General features: G+C 38.5%; 1 protein-coding gene across 2 annotated transcripts; it reads left to right on the forward strand.

Annotated features, from left to right (window-relative positions):
• WNT16 (Wnt family member 16) lies at positions 1,284-17,021 on the forward strand. 2 transcript variants are annotated; one of them, NM_016087.2, is made up of 4 exons: positions 1,284-1,397; positions 5,484-5,734; positions 7,595-7,881; positions 14,798-17,021. In NM_016087.2, the coding sequence occupies exons 1-4, from the start codon at positions 1,333-1,335 to the stop codon at positions 15,260-15,262; spliced, it is 1,068 nt and encodes a 355-aa protein (NP_057171.2). In that variant the 5' UTR covers positions 1,284-1,332; the 3' UTR covers positions 15,263-17,021. The 2 variants fall into 2 exon arrangements, with proteins under 2 accessions (NP_057171.2, NP_476509.1); NM_057168.2 differs by lacking the exon at positions 1,284-1,397 and adding an exon at positions 4,917-5,304.

Here is a 24,794-nt window from a genome sequence, read left to right on the forward strand (position 1 = left end):
CTACAACTAGAAATCTACAACTGTCTTGGGCGGAAGATGGGATTTATTGCTGTCTAGCTACTTATCTGGTTCAGTTGGCTCAGCGGATTGGAGATGATAACAGTCACAGATTCAGCATCTTGAGAGAGCTCTTTTGAGTGAAATGAGTATGCTTGAAATCTGGCTCTCCCCTCCCTAATTCCTTTTCCCAGAATACAGCTCAGAGCACCTTACCTCCAGCTAGGAAAAAGAGTTTAAGTGTATGCCCTCTATGTGGACTCCAGAGACTACAGGTGCTTGAGTAACCAATGCAAACTTGCAGTCATATGGTGATTTTCTTAACATCACTAGTCAAAATCTAGGCAGCTGGGCTCAGATCATGAAATGACATAATATTAGCTCTCATTTATGTGTTTATTAAATGATTAATGATATGATCTTTACAACATTTTATGCATATGGACACTAGAAGCTTAAAAAGTTTATACAGTACAGTAAACTTTAGGTCTCACATTCTACTGGTCAGTGAATATTTTGTCGTCTCTTCAATCAAAATATAATAAATAGGAAATTAAGCTCCTGCTTGCTGAGAAAGAAATCAATAATTTAAAATGTGCAGTTGTATACATGTTTGGAATTGATCTTTTACTTCATTCATCAAGTCTAAATAGCATAATCCCCTCCGATGAGAGTAGAGTTGAATGCTTTATATTAATAGACATAAATTCGATTATGAAAGAGCTCCTCAACTTCATATGTCAGGATAAAATATCTGTAACTTCTTATATTCTCCAAATAAAATTTCATGTGATCTGACAAGATTATATTTTAAAATTCAACCATTTTAAATGACTTCTGCAATTAAAATAGATTCATTTTCCTTGAAATCCAGAAGCAAAAGTGAAGCTGGAGATATTAAGACAAGATGGGCGCCAAAAAACCCTGGCTTATGCCACCTTGGGGACTGAACCATCTTTCAGGTAGACAAGTTCCTGTCAATGGCTAAGGTTTCCTCCTCCTGCAGTCCCCCAGCAAATGCAGTTTCCCCCTCCCCACCATGTGCGCGCGCGCACACACACACACACACACACACACACACACACACACACACACACGTACCACTCTCCTCCCTCCAGCCCTATGGTAGCTCCAGTAAGAGATTCAGATCTGAAAAAGAAATTTTGATAATTTTGCAAATGAAAAAACTGAGACTCAAAGTTGAAATGAGTAGTCCACGATCATCACCTGCTGACAGGAGCCCCGGTTACCCAACCCAACCCAGTGCTCTTTCCACTGCCCCTCTCAGCCTGCAAAAACCACAGAGGGCAAAGCCAGAAAGATGGAAAGGCACCCATGCAGCTCACCACTTGCCTCAGGGAGACCCTCTTCACAGGGGCTTCTCAAAAGACCTCCCTATGGTGGGTTTTGTTTATTTTTGGAGAACAAAACAACTTTTTCAATGTTTCAATGGAGAGATCTGTGAATTGTGACGTAAGGAACCATAGACACCAGTAAAAAATTTTGACCCAAAGACACGGTAATCTGAGTTTTAAGATTTGGGGATTTGATCAGGGAAAAAAAATTTTACATATATATATATATAACACCTAACATATCTCTCTCTATACACACACACTATATATATGTTTTGAATTAGGCATGCAGAAGTATGTTGTAGTGAAAAAAACAGGGTCTTGGCCAGGTGCCATGGATCATGCCTATAATCCCAGCAGTTTGGGAGGCTGAGGCAGGAGGATTGTTTGAGCCAGGAATTTGAGACCAGTCTGGGCAACATAGTGAGACCCCTGTCTCTACACAAAATAAAAAATACAGCTGAATATAACGGTGCACACTTGTAGTCCCAGCTACTCAGGAGGCTGAGGGTGAGGATCGCTTGTGCCTGGGAGTTGAGGCTGCAGTGAGTCATGATAGAGCCACTACACTCCAACCTGGGCAATAGAATGATACCTCATCTCAAAAAAAAAAAAAAAAAAAAAAAAAAAGGAGGGGCCTCTAAAGGTTGATTGTTTTTGAGTAACCTCGAGCAAGTTTCTTAATCTCCCCAAATTAATTTCCTCATCTGTAAAGTGAGTATCAATTTTGTATAGAGAAAGATGGAGAATGAGACAGAGACAGAGAGACAAATAAAGACAGTAAGAGGGATTTGGGAGTGTATGGCAGCTCTCAGAACATGAAAGTTCACAATGCCTGGAACAAAATTATCATTCAAATATCTGTTCACTGAATGAAAAATCTGCTTCCTCAGCTGGGTCAGCTCCTAGAAATATGTCTCCTTTGTTTTGGAGATATGGACAGAATGACCCCTAAGGCTCTAGCCCATACAAAAGAGATGCAAGACCACTCACGCCCTAAAATTGTGTCTTGTGTTTGAAAATGTTTGACACAGTGGTCTCTGACTCTCAGGACAGAATACCCTCTGAGTGCACCCCAAAGGCTTTATCTGGATGCGTAGATGGTGCTAGATTCCCAGAATAATAATGAAGGTAACATTCAAGTGTCTCCTCCCCACTCTGATCCCCAAGACTGAAATAAGTAATCTTCCTTTGTGTGTTCACAGCACACTCTACTTTGTACATTTATTGCACGTATTATAGCTGCATGCTCCCTTGTCTGTCTTGCCAAGTAGACTGTGAATTCCATGATCATTTGAGTAAGTGCTATCCCCACTTTCTAACCCATAACAGAGACTCAATATATGTTTTTGATTTTTTAAAAAATCAAACACCTCTTTAAAACATCTACCACCGTTGGCCCTAAAATCAGCCTAAGGTATGGATATTGTCCAGCACCCCCAACCCGGAGATTGCCTCCCCACTTCCAATTCCCCTTGAAATGAAGTAAAAACTGTAGTTCCAGCATTTAGGCCTCTTACATATCCACTCAGGATGTTCCTCATTGTTAATTCACTCAATAAATTTTGTTCAAAAACAGGATCTTATGTACTAGGCCCAATGGCAGGGGTACAGCAATGAATCCGCCATTGTCCCTCTTGGAGAAGCTCACAGAATAAAGTGAGCTTGGATGAAGGCTCTGACTTTCAGAGAGGCCACTAGCCGTTAGCCAAAATATTTCTGGATCAGTATCTACATCCTATCATCAACTTGACTCCTCGACTCTTTAAAATGTGGCTTTAGAACCTGGTACATAGTGTACACTCAATAAACATTTGTTGGATAAGGGAGTGAATGGGATAGGATGAAAATTTCAGTGAGCTTTTATTGCTCACTGATTGATATAGGAGATAAGCAGCTAATGCTATCTAATCCTTTTTTTTTTTTTTTTTTTGAGTCGGAGTCTCACTGTGTGCCATAGGCTGGAGTGCAGTGGCGCTATCTCAACTCACTGCAACCTCCACCTCCTAGGTTCAAGCAATTCTCCTGTCTTAGCCTCCCGAGTAGCTGGGATTACAGGCATGCACCACCACACCCAAATAATTTTGTATTTTTAGCAGGGACAGGGTTTCACCATGTTGGCCATGCTGGTCTTGAACTCCTGACCTCTGGTGATCCGCCCATCTTGGCCTCCAAAAGTGCTGGGATTACAGGTGTGAGCCACTGCACCTGGCCCCAAATCCTTTATTTAAGTAATTTTGGCTTTGGGTACCCACTGAGCTGATACGTCCACCATGGGAATGTATTAACACTTCAAAAGATCTCTAAGGACAGATAATGCTTCTTAGAAACATTTCTTGTGTCTAATTAGGTGAGGCAGGCTTTCCCAATACCACAGCTAAACACGTTGCACTTGCCTTCAGATAACTCTCGGAGACCTTCCATCCTACAAAACACTGATTAACTAACCTTCCAAATCTGCCAGTAACTGGAACACTTCCTGCTTCTGAACTATCTTCGGCTCCAGGGAGTACCCTGCTAGATTCTTTAATCTCTCTTACTGATCATCTAAACGTATTTTCTTTTACACTTGTGTATGGTTTATTTGTACAGTTGTGGGAAGAGAGCTTGTCTTTATAAATTCCCACAGGACTAGGCACACAGCAGGTATTTAATAAGTACGTTTTTAAAAATGTGTCTTCCATGTGTAGCCCTGTCCTGCAGGGACGCATCGGGTAGGTGGCAAAGGGGTGCCCAATCCTAGCGAACTTTCAACTGAGGTTGGGGGAGAAGGGCAGGGACCCTCCCACCATGAGAATCGTAAGGTAGGACTGGAGAAAAAGATCAGAGCACATCTCTCATGTACTCTAGAACTCTCCAGAAACCTCTCACTTTCTTTGTCCCCATCTTCTGCAGGGGACTTACAGCGTTCTCAGGGACTGCAGGAAATAAGACAAATAGGGAAAAGGAAATCACAGAGCACGATTGAAATATGGCAGATGAGATGCTAGACTGGAATCTTCTCTTTCGCTCAAAATAAATGCATACATAAATGACAGTGATTGTAAGCCTGACAGCACTTCACCCACTCTCTAAAGTCTCCTGACAGTGGGACCTCAAGCAGGGGACTGGAAGGTTAATTTGTTCGGTACCAACTCTGACTCAAAAAGATTATTCTCCTGTGAGGTGAAGGAGAAGAAAAAAAGGTCAGTGACATTTTCCAGCCACTACACCCAGAGGGTAACCCAGATGTTGGTGGGATGGGTGGGACTCATCAAACCCACGCTTTCCCCCAAGGTTGCTAAGACAGAGCGTCCTGTTAGTCTTCGGGTTGAATCAACCCCACAACGACCCGTTCTAAGGAGACTGTGACAGCAGGAAAGGTCATGACACACCCAGGTCTGGACACGCTGTCCCTGAGGCCAGTGCCCGGAGCGCCCCCCGCGGAGCCGCTCTCCACCAATAAGAGCCTGAGGTCCCGAGATGATGAGATGCGGGGCCGCTGCTCAGCCAATCAGGCTCCAGGCGCGGCCAGGGGGAGGAGATGGGAGGAGAGGCCGGGGGCGATGGAGACGCGGATACATCAACAGAAGTTTCTCACCTAGGAATGCGAGGGGCGCTCCCGCATCTCCTGCACATCTCCACCCCTGCGCAGGAGGAGATCCCCAGGCTGCTCTCTCCATCTCTCCTACAGCTCCCTGCAAACGAGGGGGAAGCTGCTGAGAGTCCCTATCACTGCTGGCCTTTTAATGTTGTATGCAAGGAGGAAGAGGGCGAGGGATAACTTGGTGCTGGACAACTGACCTGCGGCCCGAAGGGCCTCTGGGGAGGGGGTGCAAAAGAGGAGCGGCTGGGCTGGGGGACTCCATGCGGGGGCGATGGACAGGGCGGCGCTCCTGGGACTGGCCCGCTTGTGCGCGCTGTGGGCAGCCCTGCTCGTGCTGTTCCCCTACGGAGCCCAAGGAAACTGGATGTGAGTATGGAGGTGGCAGGGAAGCATCGGGTAGGTGGCAAAAGGGGTGCCCAATCCTAGGGAACTTTCAACTGAGGCTGGGGGAGAAGGGCGGGGACCCTTAGACGAGTGACCTAATTTTTCGGAAAACATCTGGAATTGGGGAGCGGCTTAACGCTACGGGCGGCCGTGTCTTACAGGTGGTTGGGCATTGCCTCCTTCGGGGTTCCAGAGAAGCTGGGCTGCGCCAATTTGCCGCTGAACAGCCGCCAGAAGGAGCTGTGCAAGAGGAAACCGTACCTGCTGCCGAGCATCCGAGAGGGCGCCCGGCTGGGCATTCAGGAGTGCGGGAGCCAGTTCAGACACGAGAGATGGAACTGCATGATCACCGCCGCCGCCACTACCGCCCCGATGGGCGCCAGCCCCCTCTTTGGCTACGAGCTGAGCAGCGGTGAGTCCTGGGTCCTTAGGGGTTGGTGGGGGACGGAAGGCGACAACTCCTCCACCGGTTCCTGCAAATAAAGTAAATAGTGCTACGTGGTCCTGTAGCTCTCTAAGTTCCAGAAGAAGCCCTTTAGTGCACGGGGATTGAGAGCTACAAAGGCCAGACCTGGGGAGCAGGTGCGAGCCTGGAGGGAGGTGACTCCCCAGTTCCAGAGCGGAGCTCTAGGGGCTGGAGCTCTTCCTCTTTCCTGCGGTGCCCCGCCAGAGTTGGAAAAAAAACTCTAATTCTCCTACCCCGCCGACCCCCTCGGACCCCGTAGCGCCCCCCTACGTGGGTGACCAGCTGGAGAAACATGATGTCGGCAGCGGGGAATGCGGCTGCCGCATCTGCTTTGATTTAACCAACTCCGCTGCGCACCAAACCCCGGACAAGTGGCTAATTGCAGCGAAGCCCCACCTTTATTGGCTCCTAGGAGCACCGAGTTGACAGAATAATGGTGACTTTTAAAGCGACTGTCCGCGACCACCCAACGTGCGGCTAACCTGAGCAGGACCACTTGTGCGCTTCTCGTTTCTTTGGCTTTTCTATCTTTCCCTCCTCGGCGCACTCCCGCGGCGCGGGAAGCTGCAGGAAAACAAAGTTCCACTTCCACGTGCGTAGTGACTTGGTAAGGATAAAGGTACAGGGAGCCAGGATTGTTCCTGGAATATCAACAGATCCAAAGAATGTTAGGACTGGGGCGCTGAAGGATGCGCTGTCGTTTTTCATGTTCATTTCCGTTCCCCCTCCGCCTTTGACCCTTGTCCACGCAGTCCCTGCGCGCACCCCCGCCGAGCCGCGCACCTCCCCCGCGGCGTTCTGGCCGGCACGCCCTTCCGAAGGAGCCCTGGTCCCCGTAGAGAGAAAAAAAAAAAAAAAAAAAAAAGAGACAGAAAGAAAAAAAATAGATGTGTTTTTCACAGTTGCTGAAATGCATCAGCTGTTGAAAAGGTTTATTGGACAGCGGGCATGAAACTGTTTCTACTCCAAACTAAACATCTGGAAAGAAAAAAAAAAAGTCGCCTGCTGATTCCCTTCTAGTCCATGTTATTAATGTTTTAATGGACTTTAATTTTCAAAGATTTTAGCTCAAACTCTACTGCAGGTGTGCTAAATGCATAATTTTCAATATTCAATATTTTTAATAGAATTATGTTTTTGCTAGTGACATTTTAATTATCTTACCTTTCATTGCCTTTAAGACTGTAAGAGGAGTAGCTAATACTATATAAAATGTTTAACTGTTTCATGTTAATGTGAGACTAATCTTTAATGTGAAAATATACGGTACCGTTTACTAATTGCTTTGGTCTTTCCTTAATTTTAATTTTCATTCTGACACGTATTATTTATGCAAACAAAAATCACACCAAAATGTTCAGCTTGTGTTCTGTGAGAGCACATTTTAAATTTCAAAAGAAAAGCAATCTAGTGTTCTTTGGGTGTTGTATTACCGTTTACAGTATCTATGCAAAGAATTTTTAATTCAGCATGTATTACTGAGCTATGACTGTCAACTGTGCACTGAACTGGGTGCAAACATACATTTCAAATTTAAAAAATAAAGAGATGATTTTAAGGTAAAGGGACAATGTATGACCATACAGTATATGACAATCTCTTCAAGTGGAATACTGAAAATTAATGTTGCTTTTTAAGAGACTAGAACAAGAGCAAATCTTCCTTTCTAAATATGTACTCGTTAACGCATCCATTGTAAGCAACTGAAAAATTACTTGTCCAGTAAGATCATGAGTAGGAGGCTTTCTTCTGAACATAAACAGAAGTTGCCTGGTTCTCTAATTTAGCAATTTATATTTTTTCTAGGCACCAAAGAGACAGCATTTATTTATGCTGTGATGGCTGCAGGCCTGGTGCATTCTGTGACCAGGTCATGCAGTGCAGGCAACATGACAGAGTGTTCCTGTGACACCACCTTGCAGAACGGCGGCTCAGCAAGTGAAGGCTGGCACTGGGGGGGCTGCTCCGATGATGTCCAGTATGGCATGTGGTTCAGCAGAAAGTTCCTAGATTTCCCCATCGGAAACACCACGGGCAAAGAAAACAAAGTACTATTAGCAATGAACCTACATAACAATGAAGCTGGAAGGCAGGTATGTATTAGAAAATGGAATAATCAAAACCCAGTGCTGTTAGGTAAATAACTAGGATTACACATCTGCATGAAACTGTCCAAATGACTTAAAAACCAAACACTGGCAGCCCTCAAGTGGGATCCTGAAAATTAATATTGTTTTTAAAAGACTACAGCAATAGAAAATTATCCTTTCTAAATATGTATGCGTTAAAGCATCCATGGTAAGCAATTGAAAAATTCCTTCTCTGGTAAGAGGATGAATAGGAGGCTTTGATTAGAATAAATATACGTGTGTGTGTGTGTGTATACACATTTGCACATATATTACAAATGTGTATTATACAAATATGTATATACCCTTTCATGAATATATACTAACCACAATTTTGGTTCTCTAACTGATATGAGTTAAACCGTGTTATAGCATGTGTTTGTGGTTGTATACTGTGTATATCTAAAACTTTGATATAATATAATAGATGCACAATGCCTGTAGGGTTCATTGGTTCTACCCGCTTAGTCGTGGAGTCAGAATAGGGTCTACAGTATCTGCCTTTCTAATAGAACTGAGTCAAATTTCATTTCCCCCAATTTGAATTTTTATGATATTTTTTTAAATCGACTTTTTAGTGGGCAATGGCTCCTAAACATGTTGTCAGTTTTGTACTTACCTTTTTCTAGCAAACCTTCTTTGGTAATATGTGCCCTTAACTAATATTTTTTGTAAAGGAAAGTTTTTTTAGGGAAATAGTTATTTTATTATAAAGCAATGTAGGTTAATTTTTAAAATTCATAAATACTCCTAAGCATAAAGAAGCTATAGGTATATTAAATCTATAGATATTTTAAAATATCAGTATCTTAAAGATACAGAGGTGGTACATTTGAAGAATTGCTATGTAATTACCATCCTTTATGAATTCTACATTTTTATACTGTTTTCTTAAAATGCATCATTCTTGTAGCTAAATTTGACTTATACATATTCACATTAGTGAATATTGACACAACAAAGTTTGAATTCTACAACATAGTTGACTTAGTTGGCAATTCATAGTGACTTTTCTAAAAAAGTCTAAATCTTTTATATGAATATATATTTTCTATGTTGTAATAAACTTTTTCAGGACAGAAATATTAGCACATATCATATATTCTTGTAAATATTCAATAACTTATAAAGGTCCCAAAGTAATCATTGCAATCTGTCACATTCTTTTGAAATAAATAAAACAAATTGCAATATCTCTTAGTAATCTTAAAAGTATATGTTGCGTTTGTTTTCCATTTTTGGAAAATGAATAAATGGAACGCATTTAGAATAGTTACAAGTTACTCCCAGTTTTCTTTACTTTGTCCATTTAAAATACAAAAACAGAAAAGTCGGTAAATATATCACTGTAACACTTCAAATTCAAATTTTAATTTTAATTCAATTTAAATATTTAATTCAAAATAGCAAAATAGAAAGTAGGAATGTCAGTAAATAGCTATGTAAGCTTTTTGTATTTTTGTTTATAAAATTGTAAAAGTTATTTTATTTCACTAGAATAACTCTTGCCCAACACCATAGTCATGCACATGCCTCTTAAGGTTTTACATTTAAAAAAATAAATGACTGAGATGTTGCTTCAATTTAAATATTATCCAATAAGGGAATTTTTATTATTTCTAGCATATTAATTTTGAAAAGGTTAAATGTAATTAGGATATGTTCTTAAAACTCTAGAGTTAAACCTAGAGATAAGATTATTCAAATTAATATATTTTTAAAACAAGAAAACAAATAAACGAGTGTTTGTTATCAACAGACCTTAAATCTTCTTTGGCCATTCTTTAAGTAAATTTGGTAGAGATTTTTAATAAACTAGAAATTCAGAACACAAAAACTCACGTTATGATTGATTCTCTTAAATAAAATCATCTTGGGACTTACAAAAAACCCTAAAGCATTCTAAAATATATTTTTATTAGTAACATTCGGCAGCTATTTGGTTTTATTTTATATTGTGTGTTTTTCAAATTAGGTAGTAATGTTCCTCTCTGTAACTGTTAATGCTAATCTTAAACTATTATTTATATCCTGATTTTATTAAAAACATACTTCCTATTCACCATTAATTTAAATCCATTTTTATTGGCAAAAAATAATTTTCTAACATTACCTAGGTTCTTGCTATTATTCTAACTAGCTTGAAAACAATTCAATTTATGCATATATGTACATTTTGTGTAAATCTCTGAGTTTTCTCTCCTGAATCATTTTTTTCACATTGTTCATTTTTGGTTCACATTGTTTCACATTTAGATGAAATCTTAAAATATTAGAAAACATTTTCCTGGTTATTTGGTAGGTACTATGCTGGTGTTTTTGTTGTTGTTTTTATTTTCTCTTGAGGTATTATAATTCAACAGAGTTTTGTATTTTTCTTTCTGTTGCTGGCAAAAAAACAAAAACAAAAACAAAACCAACAACACCATAAAAGAGGTTTCCTGGTTATTATCTAACATGGATGAGCAATCAACTCAATTTTTTCAACATTGGCAATTAGGATTTTAATCTAATAGGCATATTCTTCTGAATAAAATCCAGGTCTGTATTCAATTGAGTTGATTTTCTTAGCCTCAAAATCACAAACTCAAAATGTAGGAAAGTGTTCAGAGAAATGTGGGTACTGGCGCTTAGTAGTACTGTGAGCAGGATAGATGATTTTCTAACCGCTAACCTTAAATACTCTGATTCCCACTTGGTTTCTGACACCATTCCTAAACTTATGACTCCAAGAATAATGTTGCCGAATGATGATTGGCTAACGGAATGATGTGATGTCTTCCAGGGGCAGAACTTCTGGGAATAATGTGACTTGGAATATTTATGGGTATTTCTTTTGGTGTGCTTAAAATATTTCCATTCTTCCCATGTCCACCTCACAAACTTTTAAGTTTCCCTACCCCATAATTTGTTTTATGATGAGTAACTCAACAAAGTGGGAAGGGCTCAATCCCAAATTTTCATTGACCTATTCCAAGAATATTTATAAGTAGTTGAACAACACATAGTGTTTTGCTTTTCAGTAGGTTCGAATATATTTTTGGACAGAAAGGGACAAAACGGGTCAGAGGAACAGGAATCCTACATACACCCATCCAACCTCGTGTCGCAGTTTTTATAAAAACTTAGATCATCTGATAGTTGAGAAAATGAAATGTTAGTCACAAAACGTTCCACAACAATTTTCTGGCCATTTTTGTAAAATTCGGACAACGTAATTTACTGAAAAACAATCGCCAACTGCCACATTACCTCTGAGTCAAAATTGTGGAACCAATCAGTTCTTAAACCACTTCTCAAGCGGTTTCTATGTTTACATTAAGTATTAATGATGCATCTTTCCTATTTCACTTCATTAGAAATTTATCAAACCAAAATTTACACAAGGAATCCAGTAGATTAAATGCTACCCTCCTGATTGCTCTGACATAGTTTAAAAATATTCCACCAAAATGTGCACATCTGTTTGCAATAGTTAACAAAACATTCCTCTGTTAATATCGTTATAAACCTTAACAACTCAACTAGAGTAGAGAAAGGAATTTTCTCATAACCACACAGCACTCATTCCTTTGCTATTCTCTTATGTTCCTGTTAACAGAAAATTATGGTGATATTGCTGTAATTCACAATGGCTATTTAACATTAATTAAGAATCCTGGAGGAAAATCTCCAGAATACACTTTCTGGGGGAGTGTTCATGCAATTTCCTTAAATATACTTGCATTTTCCACTTTTATTTTTCCCTATTCTACTAAAATTATCCTGCTGCATATAAATACCTTATATTATTTATCACCAGCTTTCCTTATGTAAGATAAACGTCTTAATCAGACTTTATTTTTCTGTAAAATTGAAATCATAAGTACCTGCTTATTAACTAGCTATTATGTGCAACAAATATCTTCCTCTAAAACTAAATCAGGTAAAATATTTATTAAAATATGCTCTGAGAAGCAGAATTCTAATTCTGTAGAATTAAACTTTGTGTGTGTGTGTGTGTGTGTGTGTGTGTGTGTGTGTGTGTGTGTATCTGTCCTTGAATTTTGCATTTCATCAGTCCTGAGTGGTGATTACACTGCTTTATTCTAATTCCAGATTGTCCAAGTTCTTTCCTTGGAATATTATGGGGGTATAATCTTTGAAATTCCAGGTCAGGTTATTGATATTTTTTTCCTTGAAGTTCATTTATCTTTCTGTCCTAGAATACAGTATATATATGCATATATATGTGTGTATATATGCCCATAGATATTCTAAGAATATGTATATACCTCTATAGATGTTCGAGGATACAAAAATAATATGTATCATATATAATAAAGATATTATTTCTTTTATTATGTTTATTGTTAGGGACACTTACAATTCAAAGTTTAAATTGTCATCACTGAAAAATTATAAATTCCATGTATGTATTCAAAAGGGCTAATTTTCTAGGAGGGAAATCTTTCTATAATTTCAATACAAATTCAGCAGGTGATGTAATTGAATTTGAAAATCAGTCTCTCTTTTTATCCTTCATCGTGTTGTAGTGCATAACTTTCATAGAGTAACACTATTGTGGACGGGGCTAAAACTGAGGAGTTGAAAGAGAGAGCCCAGCCGGCTCAAAACAATACCATTAACCTCTTAGCAGTGACATGTGTTTAAGAAGGTGGTTTTTATTACTCCCTCTTGATTCAGTTTACCAACAGAGGATGAGATAAAAGTGTTCAAGTGAGCTGGACCAATTACTCAATAAGTATTTGATGAGCGTCTACTTTGTCCCTCATGCTGTGCAAATTGGCAACATCTTACATGATGTCTGAAGTGACTAATAAAAGAAAAAATCGGCTCCTCAGTCATGATCCAGGGGAGAAACAGCTTTAAGTCACTAAGTGATGACTGTAAAGAAGGCTGATCAGCTTAAACATGGAAACATACATTGTTATGTTTTTAGTGTTCTTTGGACAGTTATGTTTTGTTATTACCCAGCACTGATTGAGCTTTTTCTCGTAAACTTTGGGAGCTTAAAATTTGAACAAAGTAGGCAGATCACATTTATTTGCCTGGAAATGTTTTAAAGAATTGAGGGTTTTGTGAATATGAAATGCCATAAATTTAAAGAAATAAGCTTCTGTGACATACTTTATAAATTGCTGTCATATAATCGCAGGACACCTTTTGCCCTGGGTTAAGAAGAAATAGATACATCTATTAGTTTCTTAGTTTTGTGAATTCAAAAAAAGCAAATGTGCCATATGCACTACTAAGAAATATCAAGCATTGCATAAATCAATACCATATGCTCTTATTTAAGGTTGCAAATGTTATTATTTGTGTGCAATATTGTCTCATTAGATAGTTCAGACATTTTTAAAATTTGTTTGAAAACATAACATTCTGCAAACGTGTCAATGTCAGGTTTGGTACAAAACAGCAAAGTGTAGACCCCTGTCATTTTATTGTTTTCATAAGAATTGTAAGTGGAATTTAAACTGTGAGGTTTTTCCTTTCTTTGGTGAGATTACACACATAATTTCCAAGTTATTGAATGGATGGATCCATCTTTCATTTTACCCAGCATGTTGACAGAACGTCAACTCCACAGCTAGCCCTGACGATTTATTAATCTGTTCTGCCATCGTCTGGGGATTGAAGGAAGCTATGCTGGCTAGCCTGGTATGTAAGAGATTAGAGCCCTAAACTTTTGAAATCTCTATATTGTTTTTGCACCCCTAGCCTTACTGGAAATGTTTATCTCAACTCTAACTGTACCTTCTTTTTCAGAGAAAGGGGCTTTTATTTAGACCTTAGTGTGTGTCAGGCAGTGGACTATTACAAATATATGTAGTTTCATTTAACTTCTTAGTCTGTTTAAACTGAACTTAGCACTTAGAATTGAAAAAATTACATAAACATTATCCCCTTTGTATTTTCCATGCTAGGATAATGCTACTGATTCATCAAGGATAGGGCATGTGTTTTGAATTAATTTTCCAGAAAAGGAGAATTTGCTGGGGGGAGCCACCATACTGTAGCCCCTTCTCCTTTTGACCAACTAAACCAGATTTGTCATAGTTTCTCATGTGGCCTGGAACCAGGGGATAGCATAGTTCACCACCTCCACCCCTCCCTTTGTATGTGACTGACTTTTATAGTGATCAAACTTGAGAACTCTCAATTGAATCAATACGTCTCATCCCTGGATGCTCATTAAAATAATCTCAGCGGCTTTGTGAAAGTACCATGGCCTGGACACCCCACCCCCTGCCCGACCAGTGAAATCAGAATCTGAGAGGTTTGAGCATTGGTTATTTGTAAAGTTCCATGATGTTTCTATGCACCATGAGAGCTAAGGGTAACTTCTCTCTCAGTGCTTCTCAAATTTTAATGACAATCTTGTTAAAAATGCAGCTTTTGGTTCTGTAGGTCTGGAGTGGGGCCTGAGAGTCTGCATATCTCACAAGTGATGCTGGTGTTGCTGGTCCCTGAGCTGTATTCTGAGTAACGAGGTGTTGAATGGTATCAGGAACATACAGGCATGCATAAGCATCCTACCACATTCAAAATTAGACCGGGGATTAGAAATAGAAGTAATTTCCTTTTGTTATCGCAGATAATCTCCAATAATATTAGTCTGGTCCACTACTTTAAGTACAGCTTGGAAAGCTTTGCTCTGAAGGGTCAAGAAATTTGGACAAAACATTTGGGACAAAAACCAAAGGACGAAACATTTGAAGCCTACGCAATTTTAAAGATTATTTACGTTCAAAACCATCATTTTTATTCAAGAGGAAATAGACCCAGAAAGTTAATTGATTAGATTAACTGTGCTTCTGTTGTTGAGTAAAACACTTTATGATTGATAGTTGAACACAATTACTGTTGGTTTCAGGCTGTCGCCAAGTTGATGTCAGTAGACTGCCGCTGCCACGGAGTTTCCGGCTCCTGTGCTGTGAAAACATGCTGGAAAACCATGTCTTCTTTTGAAAAGATTGGCCATTTGTTGAAGGATAAATATGAAAACAGTATCCAGATATCAGACAAAACAAAGAGGAAAATGCGCAGGAGAGAAAAAGATCAGAGGAAAATACCAATCCATAAGGATGATCTGCTCTATGTTAATAAGTCTCCCAACTACTGTGTAGAAGATAAGAAACTGGGAATCCCAGGGACACAAGGCAGAGAATGCAACCGTACATCAGAGGGTGCAGATGGCTGCAACCTCCTCTGCTGTGGCCGAGGTTACAACACCCATGTGGTCAGGCACGTGGAGAGGTGTGAGTGTAAGTTCATCTGGTGCTGCTATGTCCGTTGCAGGAGGTGTGAAAGCATGACTGATGTCCACACTTGCAAGTAACCACTCCATCCAGCCTTGGGCAAGATGCCTCAGCAATATACAATGGCATTGCAACCAGAGAGGTGCCCATCCCTGTGCAGCGCTAGTAAAGTTGACTCTTGCAGTGGAATCCCTAGAACCTTGGACCTGAGAGTTTCCCTTACCTGATCGACATATTTTCCTTTATCTGATCAACCCATCAATCATGTGGATTTCTTGGGATTCTAATGTTGAAAAGGTTTATATTCACCTTTTGATGATTTGGGGAATATATATTGACATACAAGGAAGATAATCTGTTTCCTAAGCAAGAAATAACAGGAAAGATCCCTTATGCCAGGAGGCCTGCCATACTCAGGATAAGATCCTTGAATATGGAACTTAGTTACAGGACTCAATAATGGTGGGTGAACATTAGTCATTTTTAAAAGACACCTCTTATAGCAATAAGGAGACATTAACATGAATCTCATTTATTCTCTCAGTATTTTAACTGAAGAAATTATACTGTTTGTGTGTGGATAGAAGATGTTGAAAAGTTAACATAAGCATTGGGTGCTGACTTACCCTTTCATGTACTTCCAAAGAAAGGTAATCAAAAAGAATCTTCTTAAGTGATATAATATCCCTAAAAAAATGATCATTACAGATGTTTAGTGACAAAGAATCAATATGTAAAAAGTATAATGAATGATTTAGATTTTAAGTGCCTTTTCACTGGGAGAATCTGGAAAAACCTCCATAAGGTATATAGCAATCTTTGATCTTTAGATTCATACTTTTATCACAGATCAGTTTCAACTGTTAAAAACCCACCTCTGAGATACTGGGGGGAGGATCCTGAAACATGCGGGAAAAGGAGAGGTAAACAGTGGAGGTAAAAATATAATTTCATACATTGTAAAGAAAAGCACCCTTTAAATGTGTAAAGACAGTGTTTTGTAAAGAATTTTGTTTAAAAAGTTTCTATTTTGTAAATACAGTACTTAAGTTATATGATTTATATTAAAACATTTATTGACAAAGCCTAAGAGCTAAGGCAGTAAAATTATCTCATAAATAATATTAGCTTATTTTTTTTCATACTATTAATGCTATTTTTTTGGACATCGAAGAGAATTTAACTTAGCAGTTAGTTATATGGATGTGTATTTCTTGCTAAAATGACAGTTTTATATGTTATAGATTAAAATATGTTGCAAAATATCAAAAATTTGTGTTATTTCAGCAGTAAGATTAATTGAATTCTCTTTTCACATTAGTTATGCTTAACTCATAAGGTTATTATAATAAATTATATTAGTAAAAGTCTTAACTGGAAAAAAGAATCTAAATCAGAATAGTGATCAATTTGTGGATTTGATATCCTGGATATTTATTATATTTTATGTAATGCTGCATTTCTATTTGAATGTTAAGTGGTCTTTCTTGTTTTTAATATTCATGCATGTATATTCATCATATTTTACAAGGTTCCTGGTAAAAATTACAGGGCTCTATTTAAGGATGTATTTTAATGTAAATGCTTATGTTTTTTATGAATTGTTAAATATTTCAGTATTATATAGAAAAAAATAGATTTTTAAAATTCAGAATGGACAAAGAGAATATTCATTTTCTTATTAATAAGATAAAGAAATGTTTCCCTGCCCCACAGTCTTCATTCTATTTCTCTTTAATTTTATTCACTGAGGCAGAGAAACAATTTTTGAAAAAGAGCAAACCCATGGAAAATGTCTCAGATCTAATATTAAAATCAAGACTAAGCATTTAACTGTGATTGTAAAGTTTGACAAAGTTATTATTTACTAAATGAGAGACACAGAAATGGCAAATATATGAATATAGTGCATATTTAAAAGTGGTTTTCCAGTCTTTAGCATCCCTTGAACAGAATAATCTGAAAATATACACTCTCTCCTGCCTATTTTTTTCAAAGTAAATCTATTTTGTCTTCTTTGAACATAATCACCCATTTTTAAAAAACAGAAAGACTGTAGTGTCTATTAACAACCAATTTCTTCTATTAATTAGAAAACCTTTCATAATTACCTTATCAACTGACTGTGAGAATCAGGCAGCCTCTAATTTACAAAGACTTGATTACTGTTCAGCCATTCCTTTAAAACAGTGATGCTAACTCAGGCACCTCTCTCTGGGATGCCTAAGCAAAAACTCCTCCTAACTCCAAACCTGTGTCTTTGGGTTCTTCTTTTCTTCTCACCTTTGGTATCACCATGGAAGCCATCCTTAAGTTTCTCACTTTTTTTTTTTTTTTTTAAGACAGTCTCACTCTGTTGCCCAGGCTGGAGTGCAGTGACCCGATCTCGGCTCACTGCAACATCTGCCTTCTGGGTTCAAATGATTCTCCCGCTTCAGCCTCCCAAGTAGCTGGGATTACAGGCATGTGCCACCATGACTAGCTAATTTTTGTATTTTTGGTAGAGACGGAGTTTCACCATGTTGGCCAGGCTGGTCTCAAACTCTTGACCTCAAGTGATCCACCCACCTCGGCCTCCCAAAGTGTTGGGATTACAGGTGTGAGCTACCGCGCCTGGCCATCACCTATCTATCTCTCTTATTGGCTGACAGCCTGCCCTTAGCCCATTTCCATCCCACTCCCAGTCATGGTAGAGGAAGCACCATGGTGCTCCTGGGAACACAATTCTGGGACCCAAAGGCTCCTATCTAGTCTAAACCACATTGCCTGCATTCATTAGGGCCCCTTATGTTGCAAGTAATGGAAAACTCAACCCAGACTGATTTAAACATTAAATATGTTGACTCAGTAACTAAAAACTTCAAACTTGTGACTGGTTCAGGGGAAGCTTGATCCACAAGCTCACACCATGTTCCCTGGGCTCAGGTCTCTCTATTACTTTAGGCTGGCTACTGGCCAAGTCTTCTACTTCAGGGTTCATGCAGTGCTGTGTCCTAACCTCTTTCAAAGTCTCCCACCCCTAGCATCTCTGGGATCTCTACTTTTCTTAGCAACATGGCTGCCATGCTTCCAGACCTCACATTCTCCTACCTGCCACTCATTCTAAGGAAAGAGGGGTCCCATCCTCAAGAAAGAGAGGTTCTCTCCTGGTTTGCTCACACAGATGGAAAGAAAACCTTTTCTTTCTCAGAGGATTCAGCAAAGGTCTTCTGAGTCTCAGTGGTTCTAATTGATTAAATGTGCCTCTCTCTGAAAAAATCACCATGACCATTGGGAGTTTTGGGTGAGCCATAGGTACATTGAACCATCTTAAGGCCATCATGACCCTGGAAGTGGAAGTGGGATTCCCTGGAACTAAAATTACACAGCGTGAGAACAGAGACGGGGGTGGTTTCCCTAAAGGAAAACCAGGGTGTTATGTTACTGGTAAGGAGTACCTGGACGCTGGGCAGCAAAGACATTATATGCCTTAGTTCTAGTGAGCTGTTTAGGAAACAGCTTTTGATATTACATGGAGCTCACAACAGACAAAGCAAGCCCTAAGCACTGTGGATTATGAATGTGGGTTCAAAGTGCTTTGATTTGTTTAAATACCTTGCATAATGTTAAAGGGCGAAGGGAGGTGCTCCAGTGGATTATTTTTCAATTTAGGAGTTCAAATTCTTTGTAAATTTGGAACTGCCTAATAAAGGCAATGGTAAGAGGCAATGATTCATCCTGAAACAAAGTCAAGAAAAACATATTAAATGATATTATCTGTAACATCTGGATTAGGAAGTTGAATAATTAAGGCATTTTCCTGATAATGGTACTTTACACAACATTAACAACATGTTAATTCTTTTTAGTATAAACAACTGCATTATTTCTTTATTCACAATTCGGATGATAGTCATTTTGTTTTCTATTTTAAGAGACTATGATAATTATATTAAAAATAACAACAAAATTTTAATTTTACACATTAGATGCTGTGACCTTATGTTTTGGCAGCTTTAAAACTATGTGATATGCACAGTAAGTATTTTAAAACACATTTTAATTTTCTCCAGGACTGTTAGTACTAATATGATATTTGTACTTAGTTTAAATATTTGTACTAAGTTTATTTGTACTAAGTTTAAATACGTAGTAGAAACAGAAAAGCGTCTCATCAAAATACTTATTTCTAGGCAATTTAGTGAGTTGCTCATCCTTTTTGCATCACCTCCCAAAGGTCATCAAAGATTGAGAAATTCGACTCACTATTTAGAGGCAGGAAGTGATCTGGAACACTGATTACCTTAGGTGATTTGAGGGAAGAAAAATTTGAATCCTATCTTCAGAAACCTCAAATACTCCTCAAGACAAGCCTTTCTTAAAGAAAGTTGGCTAAGATGTCTCCTTTTTGAAATTAATTTAAATTTTACTATAGACCAGATGTGATAAATCATGACATTTCTTGGGGGCAAGATGATGACACGTGGCACAGCATGACAAGGGACACAGTGATACACAAGGAAAGGACTAATTTACTTTGAAAGAATAAATAATATTAGCAAATACCTCCATAGCACTTAGTATATACCCGTATTAGTCTAAGTAAAAAATATATAGAGAGATACATATAAAAATTCAATCTTCACAACAACCTCGTAAAGTAGGTACATTATTGTAGTTTTCGTTTTACAGCTGAGGAAACTGAGACACACAGTAAGTTCCCAGCCCAAGGTCACACAGAAGGAACTGGCTTCAATGTCTGTGCCCTTAACTACCACATTGTTATTGTGCTTCTCACAGTATCAGAATTGTCAGACTGTGTTTACAAACATATGCCATTTAAAGAATTTAGGGGATTTGTGAATGTAATGAAAGTTACAGGATGTTCTTCATGGTTTGGTTATATAAACTTGGTTGAAAAGTAGGGAGCGAAGTGATGGGAGAGCTGAGATCTTAGAATTTACTATGAAATAAAATTAAAATACACTGCCTCTTGATTACTAAGCCCAAAGTGACTTACGCTGACTTCTATTTTAGATTGCAATGTGGCTTACAGTTGGATTGTGCAAGAATCTAATAACCATTCCAAAAGAAAATAACTAGGGGTAAAGATCAAACTAATTTAGTGTGACATAAAATAAATACTTACATCCTTTTTATTGTTGTGCTTACAGCCAAATGTTACATAAGGTGTTATTTTTAACAGATGGATTAAAATTTACTATTTGTAATGGTTTACACTCATATCCAAAGGAAAACCACTAGAGGTGGTTTGCACCAGATTAAAACTTTTTGAAACAAAATCATACTAGCAAAAGCAGCCTCTCCCATGTGGTTGTAAAGTAATAAAGGAGAATCAAGTCAACACAAACTAAAGTTTCATGTGTGACTTTATAATTTGCAGAGTAAGTAAAAGCATCTGATTCATGTGAATTGGAAAGGCAGAAAGGGCGGTGGCTGAGGGCTGCCTTTGTCCCTATCAGATGGCCATTCAGAACCATCAGGGTAGCTCTACTGCAGAGGCCAAGCCTTTCCTTCCACATTTTAGTAACCACCTGACACCCATGATCATGGCCCACACATTTACTTGGCCCTGTTTAGCCAAGAAGAAAGGGCAGATCCTTGGTGCCCCTACTCACTCTTTGGTGAGAGAAATATCACCAAATATACCAGTACATTTAAATACACCTCGAATTCTCTGGAAACCAACGAAAGGTGTAGATACACAAAATGGAAATCAATAACTACCTATGTATTGCCAGTACATAATCCTTACTTTCTCTTAGTCCTATCCACTGTCATTGTTTTATCTCAAATTCCCTGGCAAACAAGGCTCTATGCAAGGCAAGAAATAACACAGGACACAATAGCAAAATGGGAAAGCTGAAGAAGTGAATGGGATAAATCCTCTCTAACATGTCCCCTACTTAATGGGTACAGGAACTTTGCAAACTGAAAGATAAATTTCAATTCTCAGTGTGAGAAATTATTTCCTTCACCGGCTTAAAGTTGTTTTGCTTTCCCCAAATGCCCAATTCATCATTTTTTGAGAAACTATACTTTAAAATACAAGAATGATTTCAAAATTTCACTTGCCACAATTCCTGTAACTGTGCCCATATCCAACACATCCAGTGCTTTAAAACCACAGGGAACCTAATCCAGACTATTTCCATAATATAATTTTAACACCCTTTTGTAAGGTCTTAACAGTTCCACAAGAATTAGCTGTCAATATCATTTTTGGTCAAACGTTTCAGATTTCCATAGAGGTCTAGGAATGAGCTCACTTACCTTAAACCTTAAGTCCTTTCCCTAAGGGAGAACAGGAAGCCATTTGGGGCAGGCTGCACTCCCCAGGTAAGAAGGAGGCAGGACATAAGGCCCAGTTCTTGCTCATTCCTTACACCTAAGGAAATCTTCACCAATTGACTCTCCCACTTCTACCCACTGAAAACCACAACTCTCAGGGAATACTGCCTTCTCCACTAACCCAACATATTTCTAACCATAGCCCAACCATCATTTGCTTTTAAATCTCTCCTCTTCTCAGAGGTTGGACTCACAATGCATACTCCTTGGGATTCCTTTCTGTTCTTGCCAAATAGAGCACATAATACTTCTGTAACCAGCCTTCCAAAAAACAGAGCATACACAAGCTAAGTAGCTTTTGGAGTTGAAATTTAAAATAATTTAAGAGATTTCCATGTTAATACCAACATCTGTAAATAATAAAAAAATGCAAAATTCATGTGAAGTTTTACAATCAGAGAACTTCACAGGCTCACACTGGACTTTTCGCTAAAAGACAAGATTCCCAAGGGTGACCATTAGTCTCCTCTGCTTTGAGGGATATACTTATGGAAAACAGAGCAATTCTTTTCAACAGGTAGATGTCCAAATCGGCCATCTTATTCCACTGGTGATACAGGAGGCTACAATTTGGTGGGGAAGTCACTGGCCTCACTGTTGAGTTTGTTCTGTGTCAGAGAGGGCCAGCTGAGCCCCAGCATCTTCCCCACCATGATCAGTATGCCACCCTGCCCCGCAGCAGGAATTGGAGTGGTGAGGTTATTAGGAGCAGGGATCAAGGCCTGCACTCTCCAGTGAGGCTCATCAACCACCTCCTGCCACAGGAAGAGGTCAGCAAGGGCTCCCAGCCTCTTTGGCTTAAGTCACATACTTTCCCCTAAAGGCCAGACCAGCAATCAAGTAGAACCACTTAAAATGCTAGCTACCTGAAGATACACCAAAATACATAAATTAACCACTTAAAATGGTAGCTACTTGGAGATACATAAAAGCCTGAATTCTACCTATGAAGGGGAGTTGGTGTCAATGTGTAATAAGTGAAAAGGTAGGCAGAATATGAAAGAGGTTTGGAGGTCAAGGAGAACCTCAGGTGAAGAAATGAATGAAACCTCTCCCATGATCTTACTGCTCAAGTCATCTAATGGCTCCCTTCTGGCTGGGTATGATGGGATTGGAAAGCTAGAGAGGCTGACTTGTTGCAGCTTCTCTTGGGCTAAAATGCCTGTAAGACACACGGTTGATAACAGCAATACTAGCAGTTGCACTGAATGAGTACTTTGTGCCAGGCACTTTGATAGGCACCACAAACATGCTGGTATTATCCCTGTTTTACAGGTGGACATTGACTTCCTCAAAGTCCTCAAGTAGTTCACAGTGGAACAGAGATGAATTTTCAGGCAAGTCTGCACTCTTAACCACTATGCCACACTGTCTCCCCACTACAGAATTCTCTCCTCTTTAAAGGTTTTTCAGACCCTTTTCTCTTTGGCTATCAAGTGAAGGAAATATGGGCTGACTATACGGAACATTACGAGCTTGCAGGTTATAAGTCAATTTTCCCTGACCAAAGGGAGTATCTTTTATCAATTTAGCCTCAGCTTGTTCTTTCAATATTAAATGCACCCCAGTGGTTGTCATAACTGATGCAGAGCTGAACAGTGAAGTTAGTGATGGCAACAAGTTGTACCTGTGAACTAGTTGTACTGAGAAGATTGTCTTCCCCATGCTAACTTTGCTTACAAATTGCCATGGGACAAGCCCAAGAGAAACATCTCTTCTGTCTTTAACCTGAGAACTTCCCAGTCCCTTTTCCTTTCTGACCGCTCATAGAAGAGACATCTAACTATTTGAAGTGTTTCCCCAGTATAGCTTCCCTCAAGGTGTTTGCCCCCTCACTGGCCTGGAGGAAGGTTCTGATGGCAGAAGAGTCTCTTAGATTCCCTGGAGGGCTTTTCCCATGCTGCCTGAAACATCCTTTGATGCTCTCTTCATGCTGTCTAGCAACAAATGAATGACATTCCCTCGCGAAGCCTGCTTACTTTTCACTCCATCTAGCCTTTGATTTGCCTGGAAACTCAAAAAAAAAAAAAAAAAATCACAATAAGGAGCAAGCAGAGAAAAAAGGCTTAAATTGAGCGAGTTTGGATGGAAATAGAAATTAACTAGTTACAGCATGTGATAATCAAAAATCAAGTATGTGGTAGAAAAATCATTCTGAAAAGAGACAGAAAATCCTTTTGAGGAATGCAAAGGTGCAATCTGTTATTTTATTCTATAGCTCTAAATTTACATGGATTTATTGCTGTACAAGAGGTTGAAATAATTGAAGAGGTTTAAGTGACAAATCTCCCTAATCAACACAAGTAATTTATCTCTCTCATATTCCTTTGAAACAAAGTATTCTAAATGAATTTCCACTTTTAATTGCTCTACTAACTGAACATGGCACATTTTGCATTCAATTAAGGGAGAGTTTGTTGACCAAACTGAATGAAATTATAACTTTTTTGGTCAAGTTATTTAAAATTTATGTAAATTTTTAAAGTATAAAGTGCAACAGGCTAAATGAACTCAGCTTTGATCTGTCATAAAATTATAACATAGCTGATTCACTTAAAAACAAGTCCAATATAGAAAGAACAATGATAAATTTCCCATTAATCCAATTAAATTCAGGAATATAAAGACTCTGGTTCAATCTTCCTTTAATTTCCCAAATACCACTTATTTTCCTGCTTTCTCTTGTTCAATTTTAACATTCACATTACAATACACTTATTCTGGGACAGCATCGGATTACAAATAAAAAATATGCATCGATAAGCCCATAAGCACCATTTCAAATACTATGTCAATGTTAATTTGATTTTAATAAAGAACATTCTTAATATTAAATGAGCACTGTTTCATGTCTAAAACCGATTTTAAAGAGGTATCTGAAAATGTAGTATAAAGTTATTGCTTTCAAAGTTAAGTTGGCACAATCTATACAAGATTGAACTGAGACAAAAGGAAACCACACCAGTTAACATAACCAATCTTTGTCTTCTTTTAACATTTTATATATCTGGAAAAGCTATCCTTTTACAGTCTTAATAAAAGGGCTTTTTCCGCCATCTAGATACTTAGCTTCTTACATGTTAAGACACATCTAGGATATTACTATTTTTAACCACAGCAACAATTTTTTTTCCAAGTTAGGCAGTATAATAAATGCTTGAAAAACCTTGTGTGAGTTTTTGTGAAGTTCTGTAGGTATATTACTTTGCCAGATAATACAAAAAAAAAAAAAAATTCACAAAGCAAAACCAAGAGTATTTA

Source organism: Homo sapiens, chromosome 7 (assembly GCF_000001405.40).
Source record: "Homo sapiens chromosome 7, GRCh38.p14 Primary Assembly".
NCBI lineage: Eukaryota > Metazoa > Chordata > Mammalia > Primates > Hominidae > Homo > Homo sapiens.